At 52.2% G+C, this 12,743-nt stretch overlaps 1 protein-coding gene across 17 annotated transcripts in view, besides 5 other annotated features; it reads left to right on the top strand.

Annotated features, from left to right (window-relative positions):
• The window catches only part of PRKAG2 (protein kinase AMP-activated non-catalytic subunit gamma 2), a 320,989-nt gene that overhangs the window by 111,935 nt on the left and 196,311 nt on the right, over window positions 1-12,743 (top strand). The gene's annotated exons all lie outside the window — the stretch shown is intronic.
• Window positions 5,162-8,318: an enhancer, noted in NCBI's record as "VISTA enhancer hs2200". NCBI's record gives its function as "enhancer in: midbrain (mesencephalon)[8/12]" and the evidence as "EXISTENCE:transgenic organism evidence [ECO:0001131][PMID:17130149]".
• Window positions 8,554-12,234: an enhancer, noted in NCBI's record as "VISTA enhancer hs2199". NCBI's record gives its function as "enhancer in: midbrain (mesencephalon)[5/6]" and the evidence as "EXISTENCE:transgenic organism evidence [ECO:0001131][PMID:17130149]".
• Window positions 8,554-12,638: a biological region, named in NCBI's record as "VISTA enhancer hs2199".
• Window positions 9,507-10,288: an enhancer, noted in NCBI's record as "H3K27ac-H3K4me1 hESC enhancer chr7:151451979-151452760 (GRCh37/hg19 assembly coordinates)". NCBI's record gives its function as "activates a minimal SCP1, AML or CMV promoter by ChIP-STARR-seq in naive H9 embryonic stem cells {active_cell/tissue: H9 hESC(naive)}" and the evidence as "EXISTENCE:reporter gene assay evidence [ECO:0000049][PMID:30033119]".
• Window positions 11,855-12,638: an enhancer, noted in NCBI's record as "H3K27ac-H3K4me1 hESC enhancer chr7:151449629-151450412 (GRCh37/hg19 assembly coordinates)". NCBI's record gives its function as "activates a minimal SCP1, AML or CMV promoter by ChIP-STARR-seq in naive H9 embryonic stem cells {active_cell/tissue: H9 hESC(naive)}" and the evidence as "EXISTENCE:reporter gene assay evidence [ECO:0000049][PMID:30033119]".

Here is a 12,743-nt window from a genome sequence, read left to right as displayed (position 1 = left end):
GAGTCAATTAAACTTTTTTTCTGCATAAGTTACCCAGTTTCAGGTAGTTCCTTCTAGCAGTGTGAGAACGGACTAATACAGATGGACTGCGGGCTCACACACACCTTGACTTAGGCTCCCAGCCTCCAGAACTGTGAAGGGATAAATCCCATTGCTTAAGCCCCCCTGGCCATAGACAGCAGCCAGAGAACAGACACAGCAAATGTCCAGGAAAGCTATGGCCACACAGCAGACAGGATGCTCGGCCTCTCAGCCATGATCTTCTGTTGTTTTCAGTGAGGCAGAGGGCAGGTGTGTTACCTTGGAGTCCCCACTGCAGCCTCCCCATGCTTCACAGATGGGGAAGGAGTCCCTGTCTCTCTACAACCTTGAGGCCTTACCCCCACCTGCTGGCCCTGCCCCCACGTCCTGGGACCAAACCCTGACCATCCTGACACTGCCCCCACCTCCTGGCTCTGCCCCTGACCCACTTGCTCCTGGGAGCATGGTTGGGTGGGAGGCAGGACAGTGTGAATAGGTCATGAGGTCTCCGGGCTTCTGGTAGGACTCATGAACTAAGGAGTTGACAGCACTCGTGGTGTAGCCATCGCAGTCCTGGGATGCCTCTAGGCACTTCCCCGCTCTCCCTGGGTCGTCTGACAGGTGGAGAGCTCTTGGCACTGGGGGTGGACAGTCAGAAAGTACTGGGCGGGGGTAGCAGGTCCCTAGGCCCTCAGCTCAGGTGTCAGCAAATCAGAGCTGGAGTTGAGTGTTTGTTAGCTTAAAGGACAAATAGCAAAATGAAAAAGCATCCAAGGAAGGGCGCCAACCTCTGGGTCTCTGGACAGCCTTTCTCCCTTCTGGAGCGCTGGTCTCTCCATCACTCTCCTGGGCTGGGCTGCGCTCTGGCTTTGGCCCAGGGCAGTGGCCTGAAGTGTCCCCTGTGGCCATTAGAGCTGTGATTGCAGATCTGTCAAAGCGGCTGCTGCACAGATGTTTCCATCACCACTTTTATTATGTCATTCCCTTGCTAGAGACTTCAGAAAACTCAAACTGCTTGCCAGATCAGGGCCAACCTCACCCCCCAATTCACACCCCGTCCACCTGCGCAAACACTGCCTCCCTCCTCTGCCAGGCTGTCTGCCCGTCCCAGCCCTGTCTAACTTGGTTTTAACTTCATTTGTGCCCCTCTCCACCTGGAGTGTGCCTTTGTCCCTTTTAGACACCAACTCCTGTAGAGACGCACAAGGAGGAAAGCAGTGAGGCTGCATGTTCTGTCCAGAGCTTGCGGGTTTCCGGGCCTGCAAGCTCCAAGGGGAGCCTGGGCTCAGGGCACTGTCAGCTGCAAATGGGTGTTAGGGCTCGTCAGGTGACACAGGCAGCAGCTATAGCCCTGGACGGCATCAGCCAGACCAGGCACGGCATCTGGAGACAGACAGCTGGGTATGGCTGGCACACGAGGGAGGGCAGAGGCCCAGGGTCCATGAAAGAGGCCAAGGAGGCATATGGGTCACAGAGGCCCAGAAGAGTCCCTCAAGAGAGGGGACGATCAGCCCTGGAGGTCCGGCCAGGCTTTGGACTTGGCAGGTCATTGGTGATTTCCAAGAGAGCAGCTTCAGTAGCCAGGAAGGGAAGGAAAGCGTGTGGGGCAGTGGCTGAGGAGCCAGCGAACTTCCTTCAAGGCCCTGGGGTCAGAAGCGCAGGTGGATGCATCTGTGCCAGGAGCTTGGTGCTTGTGCAAGAGCCAGGAGCTCCTCTGCCTCTCCCAGCCCACCCCTGCGGTCAGGGTGGGACCACATGATGGGGTTTCACCAAAGAGAGAGGACAGGCGTCACTTCCCACCCAAGACATCAAGAGCAACCCGTGTGCTCGACTCTGTGCCGGGATGGCTGGAGGCAGAGACACAGAGGTGAGGAGGGAGCAGGACAGCAGGAGACCCGCCTTAGCGTGAGACCTGCCTTGGCTGCGTCTGACTGTGTGTGGCCTTTTTAGGGGCTCAGCTTAGATTCTGGCGCTTAATTCTTACTGTGGCACTTCCGAGCCCACCCGACAATTAAGGCGAGCTGGTAGCGAGGGGATGGATTCAGTTTAATGGACGTTTTCAGTTGGTTCTTTGTAAGGTGGGAGAAGCACGTGCAGGCTGAGAGGGGAGGAGCCGGTAGAGGGAGCAGGGACAGAGCTGTCACGACTCGGGAGCCCTGCCCATCTCTAGTGCTGGCTTTTGTCCTGCTCAGGCTGCTGGCTTATTTGCTTTGGGGGACGCCTCCTGTTTGTCCCCATGGTCTTGATGAGGCTGCTTGTCCTCACAGACCTGCCCTTATCCCAGCCAGCCATCAGTCAGGGAGCCGCGCTGTGGGCATGTGTCTGAATGTGCCGTCTGCTCTGTAAAGGATGCTTCTTAGGGTTGCAGATGGACCTCTCTTGTGTCCCCCACCCCTCAGTGTTTAGCAGTGAGCTTCAGTGGGGTTTGAGTCCAATTCTGAACACATGGCAATCCTGCAAGGCAGCTGCTCATCCTGGCAAAAGGCAAGTGGCTTGTTCTACGGCACACAGCTCAGAGGTGCTGGTCGATGTGCGTGGGCTAGTCTGCCCCAAACACAGAGGATGCTTGGCATAGTTTGCCTCTTTTCCACCAAACCCCTGTATTTTGCTCCCATGAATAGCTGACCTGCCCATGCCAGCCTTCCTAGCCCCCATCCTCACAGAACTGACACTGCCTCTCAGTGGTGGCTCCCTTTAGAGGCTCCCAGTAGGCCACAGCTAGGCTTCTTGTGCCTGCCTACCTGCTCCTTAAGCTTACGTATACGTCGTATATGTAAGAATTAACATATGTGTGTGAGTACGTGTGTCAATACTGTGAGATAGCCAAGCCTCCTTCCTCCATTGGGCTCATTCTTGCAACAGTTGCCTGCCTACTGCGGAAAGTCATTTCCCACCCTGGAGATGCGTGTAGGGGATCCTGCTGCCCTCGGCTACCATGCAGGGCCTTCCTCTCGTCTTCTCCCCACCTGTCCTGGGCCCCTTCTCCCGCTAAGTCCATCACATTTGTCCATGTGCACAGTTTGTTCCTCGCTGAGGTGCGCAGCAGACTGTGCTAACCCATCGGACAGTGGCTGCCTCTTGTTTCTTCATAGCAGAACCTGGTTTAACTCAGGGCATGGCCCCAGGCCATGAGCTGCAGTTGGTCTAGTTCAGTCAGAAGTATCCCCTTCCCACATGCCAGTGAATGGGAGAAGTCGGCTAGGGATTTAAGAAAAACGTGCGTCCCCTAACAACAACAAAAAAGACACACGGGGATAAATTTCCTTTTCTTCCTTTGACTGTGGTCTGGGGACATGGTTTCTAGGGCCATGAGGACAAAGGTCAAGGCACAAGGTGGCTGAGTGGAAAGGTGGGCAGGTGATTCTCCACGCAGTTGGCAGCACCAATGTCATTGCCCGATGGGTCCTTCCGCCTCTTGTACAGGGAAACTCAATCCACTGAGACCACGGCGTCACAGTAAAGAAAGAGTTAACTGACATGAGTCCGGTCATGCCATGCAGGACAGTTATCTATCAAATCAAGTCAGTCTACCTGAAGGCTCAGAGGTTAGCAGTTTTCATGGATAGTTTGGCGGGCAGGGACTAGGGAATGGGTGCAGCTGATTAGTTGGGATGCCTTCAGAGGGGTGTGGAAAATGACACTGACTCCTCCTCTGGGTGGGGCCACAGGACTGGTTGGGTGGTGAGTCAGGAGTCCAGGTGAGGTCAAATTGGTTGCCAGAAATGCAGAAGTCTGGAAAGACATCTCAAAAGGCCAATCTTAGGTTCTCTAATAGTGATGTTATCTACAGGAGTAATTGGGGAAGTTACAAATCTTGTGACCTCGGGACAATGGCTGGTTGTCATTTAACTACACCTACATCTTAGCAGAATTCAGGCCTCTCTCAATCCTAACCTTGCGGCCTCTCATTAGTTTTGCAATGGTGTTTTAGTTTGGGGAAGGGCTAGTATCATCCTTGCTTTAAACTGTATGTAGTTTAAACTATAAACTAAATTTCTCCCAAAATTAGCTTGGCCTGTGTGTGCCCAGGAATGACCAAGGACACTTGGAGGTCAGAAGCAATATGGAATCAGCTATGTCAGATTTCTCCTAACAGTGATACTTTTGCAAAGGCAGTTTCGCTAAGCTGACCTGCTTTGCAACTGCCTACCTACTAACTGTTCGTTATTGTAGGTGATAAGCATCCTTGTGGCTTAGCCTCCTTTCAGTTATTTTTTTCTGTTCATGCCACGAAGCCATCCTAACTTTATCCTGACACATCTCCTTGCCCCAGGGGAGCTATGGACAAGGTGCGCTGTTTGGCTGAAGGCAATCATGGCCAAGCTGGCAGAGCTAGCCTGGAATCTTCCAGACAGAGGGCTGGAGGAGGGATGGGGCACGGGAGCACAGATAGACTTTAACTGCCCCCACGTTGTCAAGGAAAGGAAAGCAGAGCGAGAGAGTGGGTAGTGGGGTGGGTGCTGCTTTGGATGGAATGGCGAGGGAAGTCTTCTCTGGTAAGGAGACCACACTGGAGCCAGAGAGAGAGCCACTCAGAGGTCTGGGGCAGAGGAAATGCTAAGTGCACATTAGCAAAAGCCTCATGCTGTAGGGCAGTCCCCAGCTTTTAAAAAACTCTCTCAGCTGGGTGCAGTGGCTCATGCCTGTAATCCCAGCACTTTGGGAGGCCAGGCCGAGGTGGGCGGATCACCTGAGATAATGAGTTCGAGACCAGCCTGGCCAACATGGTGAAGCCCCGTCTCTACTAAAAATACAAAAATTAGCCGGGCATGGTGGGTGCCTGTAATCCCAGCTACTCAGGAGGCTGAGACAGGAGAATCACTTGAACTTGGGCAGCAGAGGTTGCAGTGAGCCGAGATCCTGCCATTGCACTCTAGCCTGGGAACAGAGCAAGACTCTGTTTCAAAAACAATAAACAAACACCCAGCTCTCTCTCAAAGAAGTAAGGAAGCAAAGCAGGCTGATGGAGACAGGCTTCTGGGAGACCCAGCTGCTCAGGTCTGGGCTCTGCCTGCTGTATATTCACTTCTCCTAGGTTCTCTCTGGCCTGCCTCCCATCTCAGCTTCCTTTTTTAAAAAAAGAAAAGGCTAATCTTTGATAAATTCCCACATAATCTGCAATGAACAGAGAAACTCTGTAGGAATGACTTGGTGCTACCCCACCACAGTCCACATCTTGGGACAGCCGCTCAGCCTGGAGCCCGTACTAGAAGGAAGAATGTCGATGTTAAATCTCTCCCTCATTCAAGACAATGTGGCCTCAATATTAGATGCCTTTTCACCTTTATTTTCTGAATGTCTGTTTACATCTGAGTTCACTCGTAGAAAAAGTCTGGGTGAGAGAGTAGGTCGGGGTCCCCTTGGCCCTGAGAACAGCTGGCCAGGCGGAGCCCACCTCTGGTTTTTCTGGCTTTGTGACAGAGTGACCACTAGGGGGTGACATAGCCTCACATGCTGAGTCTGGTGCTGGGAGCAGGTTGGTCCTGCCTGGGGGAAAGCAGCAGGTATCGTTCCTGCCTGGGTTTTTTCCAGTGCGGTTCACCTTCAAATGCGCCTCCCAGACAGAAGAAAGCTGGTGTTAGGAGCGGACAAGGATACCTGCCTGCCCAGGCGTTTCAAAGGGGAGTTGTCTGGCATGGAGGATATTCACCTGCACCACGTTACATGAGAACCTGCTAAGTGCTGGGCCCTTGGGAACGCAGCAGTGAATGAGCCCATCCCTGCCCTCGTGGGGATACCATTCTAGGGACAATCGGTACCACAGGTGGAAAAGTGTCATGTGTCCCAAGTGCCAAGAGGAACAACAGTCAAAGGAGAGGGGCTGCGGGGGTGCTGCTCTATGTGGGCAAGTCAGCAATAGCCTCTGACATGGAGACATTTGGCCAGTGGTGAGATGGAGCCAGGGAGAGGACAGGTGGAGGCCATGGCACGCCTGGCGGAGGGGCCCACGATGCAAATGTCCGGAGGCAGGAGCAGCCTCTGAGCCTGCAGGGAGCTGGTCAATGTGGCCAGAACCAAGTAGGGAGGGAGCAGGTGCTGGAGTGAGGTCAGGGAGTGGGGCGGGGCCTTGCAGGAGAGGTCAGGATTCCAGGTTTTAATTGAGCGATACAGAAAGCCATCGGATGTCGATCGGATGCAATGCAGAGAGATGTCTGGCTACTGTGCAGTAAAGAGATGGTAGAGACAGGGCTGGGGTGAGCAGTGAGGGGTCCCTGCAGTGGATCTGGAGATACATTAGCATGGTCTCCCGCCTCCTCAGAGACCTCCTTCAAGTCTTGCCCGCTACAGAAAGCCTTACTGGATTCTGTTTGCCTTGAGCAATCTGCCAGAGCCCTGAAATATAGCTGTTATTTTAAGTCTCTTTGCAGTCTGTGTTCTCTCGTGATAACTTCCTATTGCCTTCTTGTCTCTTTAAAAATCACATATTGAGCTTTTCATGCACTTGCCTCTTATTTTCCCAAGCTCTTCCAGTTCATACCTCCTCATCCCCCCAGGTCTATCAGTGCCTTCGGGGTTTGGAACCTTTGGGGTACACTGATGGTCACCCAACATGGGAAGAACACCATGTCTCTGGGGACCTTGGATCTCCCTGCTCTGTTTTCCTTTCTGTGGGCTCCCAGCTCCTAGAGCTCAACATGCCTTTATCCTTTTCCCTCCTCCCTCAGATGGAAACAGTTCTGGCAAAAATATTTAAAATAGACATTATAGAACTTAAAGGTGACATAGTTCAGGGGTAGTTGACACATTTATCTCATAACAAAGAAAGAATTCCTAGCATCAAAACCAGATGCCACAGATTCTCTTTTTGGAAGCGACTGTCTTCCCAGAACCCTAAAATCATGCAGTGGTAGCTTTTAGGGAGTGAGACAAGGTGGCCTTTGGCCAGCTGGCCCCCACGGAGCAAGAAATGGCATCTTGTCTGATGGGGGCAGCAGGGCACACCCAGTAACTGCTACTGACAGGATCAGCCCTGCTGGACATTGGGACATTATCTTTGTCCTACTAGAAAAAAAAAAAAGAGTTGAAAATCACTGGCCTAGACAGCCACCTACTTTGATTACACCGAAGGCTACTCTAGGTGATGACCATGGTGTCTGGTAGGGACAAGCACAAAGCAAAAGGTGGAGAATATACTCTGACACCCGGGGAAGATTTACAGCACTGAGATGGTAAAGCGGAGCCGCAGGGCTTCATCGCAGCAGTGGTTTGAAAACGTTTTGACTGCAGCCCACAGTAACAAATCCATCTGATGGCATAATCCAGCACATACAACACATCAACAAAAGCCCTTTTACGAAGCAATATTGACCCTGACTAGGTACTTTATTTTCGATTCTATTGTTTCAGCTGCTTTATCTGACCCACACGGTTGATTTCATGATGGGGTGGCGGGGGCAGTGGTTGCAGTTTGGAAAACACCACCCTAGATGGTCAGAGAACAGCAGAATGCGTCTGGAACGCCTTTGAGGCGAGTCTGGTTTGGGGGGTTCTTAGGGCACAGAGGATCCGCTGGATGGAAGTAAGTCCCGGGTTTCTGCCAGAGATGTGGAATGGTAGATTTTCCCCCTGTCCGTTTCCAAGACTAGCTCACAATTATGACCGAGGTCATGTGTATTTTGAACATCCAAAAGGAATTTAATTTTCTCTGTTTGTGGTTGAATCCGAATCTCCCATTCCACATGGTTGACCCCCACCCTGGAGCGGGCACTGTGTCTCATCCTGCTGCATCTGGGGATCTTTTTCAGAGGATCTGTGCTGGGAGCTGTTTGAAATTCGAATGAGTCTTTCAGAGAAGTTTATTTAACTTGTAAAACTTCAGGTCCTTTCACACCATTTCAGCGTTGGATCACAGACAGCTCTTCCTTTATATCCCAGCAACTTGAGTTTATTTTTCAAATAAAAGTCTGTTTTCCCATAAAATGCCAAAGGTTTTGTGCTTTGTGTGGAGGAATGAGCCCAAGCTTTTAAGACTTTAATTTAGAGCCTCTGAGTCTTGCATTTCCATCCCAAGGGCTCCCGGGGCTGAGGAGCACCCCACTCCAGCTTGCCCCGCAGAACAAACGCCAGGCAGTGGTTCAGCGAGTGAGCATCAATAGGGCCATTGTCCCTAAATATAGAGCAAGACCAAAAACCGGGGGGTCAGACTCGAGTAATTTTAGGACTCCAGCATTTAGGCCTGAAGCTCACCGCTGGTTACTCCCCCGAATCGCAGCGCTGACCCCGTCTGAATCGTCTCCTGCAGATGGCCCTAGCTCAGCTGTCAGCCCGGGTCCTACCTGGAAGAGGGTTACTCTCCGTACTAAAAGCAGATGGAGTTTAATACACGGACGTCACAGTTCTGATTATGTGGCTGCGTGGTTATAAAGGTGAGGAAAGAGCTGAGACGCCAGACTAGAGTTTGGGAAGCGACCCACCGATGAGTAAGGAAAATCCTTTCCCACCCCAGGTGGGAGAAGGGAAGAGGGCGGCGCTGGGAGCCCTGGCGGGGCTGGAACCAGGAGCTGCAGTTGGTCTGTCTGGCAGGAACGGGAGCCAAAGGGGCTGTAGCTATGGTCAGATGTTGCCCAAGGTGTCTCCCTGTCTCCTGCCCAGCGGGAGCCTGGACACATGGCAGCAGGGGTCAGAGGTCAGCCCCTGCATCCAGGCAGAGTAGGGGTGAGGATTGAGCATGAGAGCAGCGCAGGTACCCGCTCGCCTGGAGGCACCACTGAGTCGTTGCGTGTGCCTGAGCCATGTGCTGAGCGGGGTGCCCGAGATGCACCCACAAATCCATCTAGGGTCCCTCCCAGCATTGCAAGGACAGGAAACCTTTGGTGCCTCAGAGGCAGAGAGGTTCCTGGGGAAGCTCTGGTGGCTCCTACGTTAAAAGGAACCCACACTTCCTTCGTTGCAGTCACGTGTGTGGTGTGTGTTCCTGGGGCATTGCTCACATGACCTGTACGTGAGTCATTTTACTCCTCACTTTCAGGGAGGCCACAGGGGCCTGTGGGACTGTACCGATGGTGCAGAGGCGAGACCTGCTTTGGGGGCAGAGGGACCTGTGGCTGCCGGCATCACTGGTGGTCCAGGGGGAGAGGCCTGAGAAGAGGAGGAGACCAATGGGGGATGGGAGAGGAGGCGGGAGAGGGCAGTGGAAGTATTTGTGTTTGCGCACAGGTAGAGACACTGAGGACTTTTCTCCACTTCCACCTGGGAGGGCCCCGCAGCCTCCTGGAGGAACCTCATGGTGTGCACAGGTGATTTATATCATTAATACCAAAGAACACGAGCAACTGCTAAAGTGAGTTGCTTTAGGCACCGGGGTGAAACTGGGAAGGCTCGTGAGGGGCCGTGGCCCCCGTGAGAGTCCCCTTGCTGCCTTGGAAATGACTCTGCCCAGCAAGGAGAGGAGTCTCTTCAAACAGCAGTTGACAAATGTTTCCTGTAAAAAGCCAGATGGTAAATGTCTTAGACTTCGAAGGCCACGTGGTCTCTTTTGCAACTACGAAGCCATAGACAAAGTATAAACTAATGGTGCAGCTGTGTTCCAATAAGTATTTATAAAAGCAGGTGGCCAGCAGGATTGGGCCATTGGGTAGTAATTTGCCAACTCCTGTTTTTAAAACATAAATCCCATCATGTCATCCCCTGTTCAACCCCTTGACGCCGCCCCAGCACATTTAAATGAAAACTCCAAGCCCCACCACACATGGCCTCTGAGGTCCTCTGAGGTCACCCTGGGCTGGCTCTGACTGTGTCTTGTGCACACCCACCCCCTGTCTTCCTCTGCTCAGGCTCATGTCCCCTAGGCCCTCTGCCTGAAACACCCTGAGATGCTGAGCATGTCCCCTAGGCCCTCTGCTAGAAAACACCCTGGAGCCAGAACACCCTTGAGGCTGTGCTGTGCCGTGCCTCCCAGATTCCCGATTCCTTCAAGAATGAGGAACTCACTCCCAGCTGTGGGTGTGACAGACAGATGGCCCTCAGCTAAGGAGCACCACCTCGCCAGCCTTCAGCCCCTCCCAGAGCCGGCCTACGCCCAATAACCGGCCGATGTACATAAAGGACCAGCCCCCGACCCCCGCTCAGGACAGCTCTGAAGGGGCATCCGGGCTTCAGAACTCTCTGTCGGGGCTTCACGGGGTCTCCATCGCCCCTTTGTCAGGCCCAAGAGCACTCCCTGATGTACATCCAACATGCTCATTTCCATCCCAGAGCCTGCCTCTCAGAGAGCCTGCAGCGACCCTTCCTGCAGATAGACACAGGTGGGGTCCCTTCCTTCAGGTCGCTGCTCCAACTTTCCAATACCACAGTGGCCTTCGGAAGGAAGGGAGGCAGGGGAACTGAGGGGACCGCGAAGGTAGGGCCTGGAGAAGTGCTGGGGAGTGAGGTGCAGCTCGAAGTGCTGGAGAGTGAGGTACTCGAAGTTAGGGCCTGGAGAGGTGGTGGGGAGTCAGGTGCGGCGGAGGGGGTTGGGTGGGCGGGAGAACAGGGACTATATGAAGCCAAAGCCCAGCCTCCCTCAGGGCTGTGCCCTGTGAGTTGTACAAAGGGCCCTGGGTCTGTCCCCAGATGTTGCCATGATCCAGAATTACTGTGAGCTTTACCCTGTACCCGACAAAAAAGATTGACTCTGGCTTGCCCAAGTCTGCCCCTAAGCCCCAGTGCTGGCCCAGCCAACGCGGGCACCCTGGGCCCCCCGCTCACTGGCCACAGCTGGAGCCTTCCGGACCAGGGCAGCTGATGAGGTCTGAATACTGGGGCTGAGCAGACTCCAGAAAAACGTGACTCATCTTGCCTGCCCACAAAGAAAGGAAAAGTATGTGCGGCATCCAAGTTTCCTGAAAAGTTCAGCCAACACATTGCAGAGTTATGTGGCCTGGCATCCCGTGTGGTCCCTGGGGACAGCGCCCTCTGGCGCCAGCCTGGAAGACGTCCCCAGCCAGGGCTGGCCTGCACATCCTGTGTCCAGGCTGTTATTATTTGGGAGAAGCCAACGAAAAATTCCCGGAAGAATCTCCTTGCCCTCAGCGAGTTAGAGTCCTCTAGTTCTCTCAGGGCCTGCTTTGGTGATGCTCCCACCTTCGGAGACAGTAAAAGGCAGCACTAACACATGCTCTTACTTAACACACAGGCCCACTGTAGCTCTTTTTCTTTTTTTCGAGATGCGGTCTTGCTCTGCCTCTCAGGCTGGAGTGCAGTGGTGCGATCACAGTTCACTGCAACTCAAGCGATTCTCCTACCCCAACCTCCTGAGTAGCTGCGACTACAGGTGTGCACCATCATGCCCGGCTAATTTTTAAATATTTTGTAGAGATGGGGTTTTGCCATGTTGCCCAGGCTGGTCTCAAACACCTGGGCTTAAGCGATCCTCCTGCCTTGACCTCCCAAAGTGCTGGGATCATAGGCACAAGCCACTGCTCAGCCTGTATTTCTTAATTCCTTTTTTAAAATAACACTTTAGGGCTGGGCGAGGTGGCTCACGCTTGTAATTCCAGCACTTTGGGAGGCCAAGGTAGTGGATCACTTGAGCCCAGGAGTTCGAGACCAGCCTGAGCAACATGGTGAGACTCTGTCTCTAAAAAAACAATTATTAAATAATAAATAACATTTTATTTTGACAATTTCAAACATAAAGTCACAAAAATAATACAAAGAGTTCTCATATCCTTTTCACCCAGATTGCCCGATGTTAGCATTTCACCAGATCTGCCCATATCTCATTTCTCACGATCTCTCACTGTGTGTTTATATGAATTCTGAACCCCTGAGAGGAATTTGCAGACATCATATCCCTTTACCCCTAAATATTTCAGTGGATGTTTCATAAAAACAGGGTCATTCTCCTAACCACAGTATAATTGTCAAAATCAGGAAATCAGCACAAATATCATGCTATCAGCTAAGCTGCAGGCTTCATTCACATTTTGTGCCTTGTCTCAGGGGCGTCATTTCTTGGAAGAGGAGACCTCCAGCCACGCGTTTTGTTTCGTTGTCCTTTCTCTTCAGTCTCTTCATCTGGAACAGCTCCTCAGTCCTGTCTCATCTGTCACGACCTGAGCACTTTTCAGGAGGACAACGGCCAGTTCTTGTGTCACCTGCCCTTCGACATTTCCTCACCATCAGAGCCAGCCTCCGCCCTCAGGTGGGCACCCACCCATCCGTGGGCTGCCCTGGGCTTCTGCATCCCAGCAGGGTCACCCGATGCGGCCGCGACACCTTTCCGGTGAAGTGGACGCCGGTCACTTGGTGAAGGGGGCGTCTGCCACCATAAAGTTCTCTACTTTAATAAAGGGCTTACTTTCCCCCTTGTCACCAGTCAGGGCTTCAGGGGGACCTACTTTGGGATTGTGTAAATGTCTTCTTTCTCATCAAACTTTCACTTGCTAGTTTTAGGATTGATATGTATTTCTTGCCTGAATTGTTACTATAGTAATTACCAAAAGGCGATTTTCTAAATTTATCATGAATTCTACATTGACTGGTTGGAATGCTACTTTAAAGAACAGGTTTTTCTTCTCTCCCTGTGTGTGTATGTATCTATGGACTCATGGATTTGTATCCTATTCAGTGCCATGTTATTTCTCATTATCAAATATTTTAAAAAATTTTTATTTTAGGTTTGGGGGTCCATGTGAATGTTTGTTACATAGATAAAGATGTGTCATGGGGGTCTGTTGTACATATTATTTCATCACCCACGTATTTCATCATGTATTAGGCTCAGTACCCAATAGTTATCT

Source organism: Homo sapiens, chromosome 7 (genome assembly GCF_000001405.40).
Source record: "Homo sapiens chromosome 7, GRCh38.p14 Primary Assembly".
Taxonomy (NCBI): Eukaryota; Metazoa; Chordata; class Mammalia; order Primates; family Hominidae; genus Homo; species Homo sapiens.
This window is presented reverse-complemented; position numbering and strand designations above follow the sequence as displayed.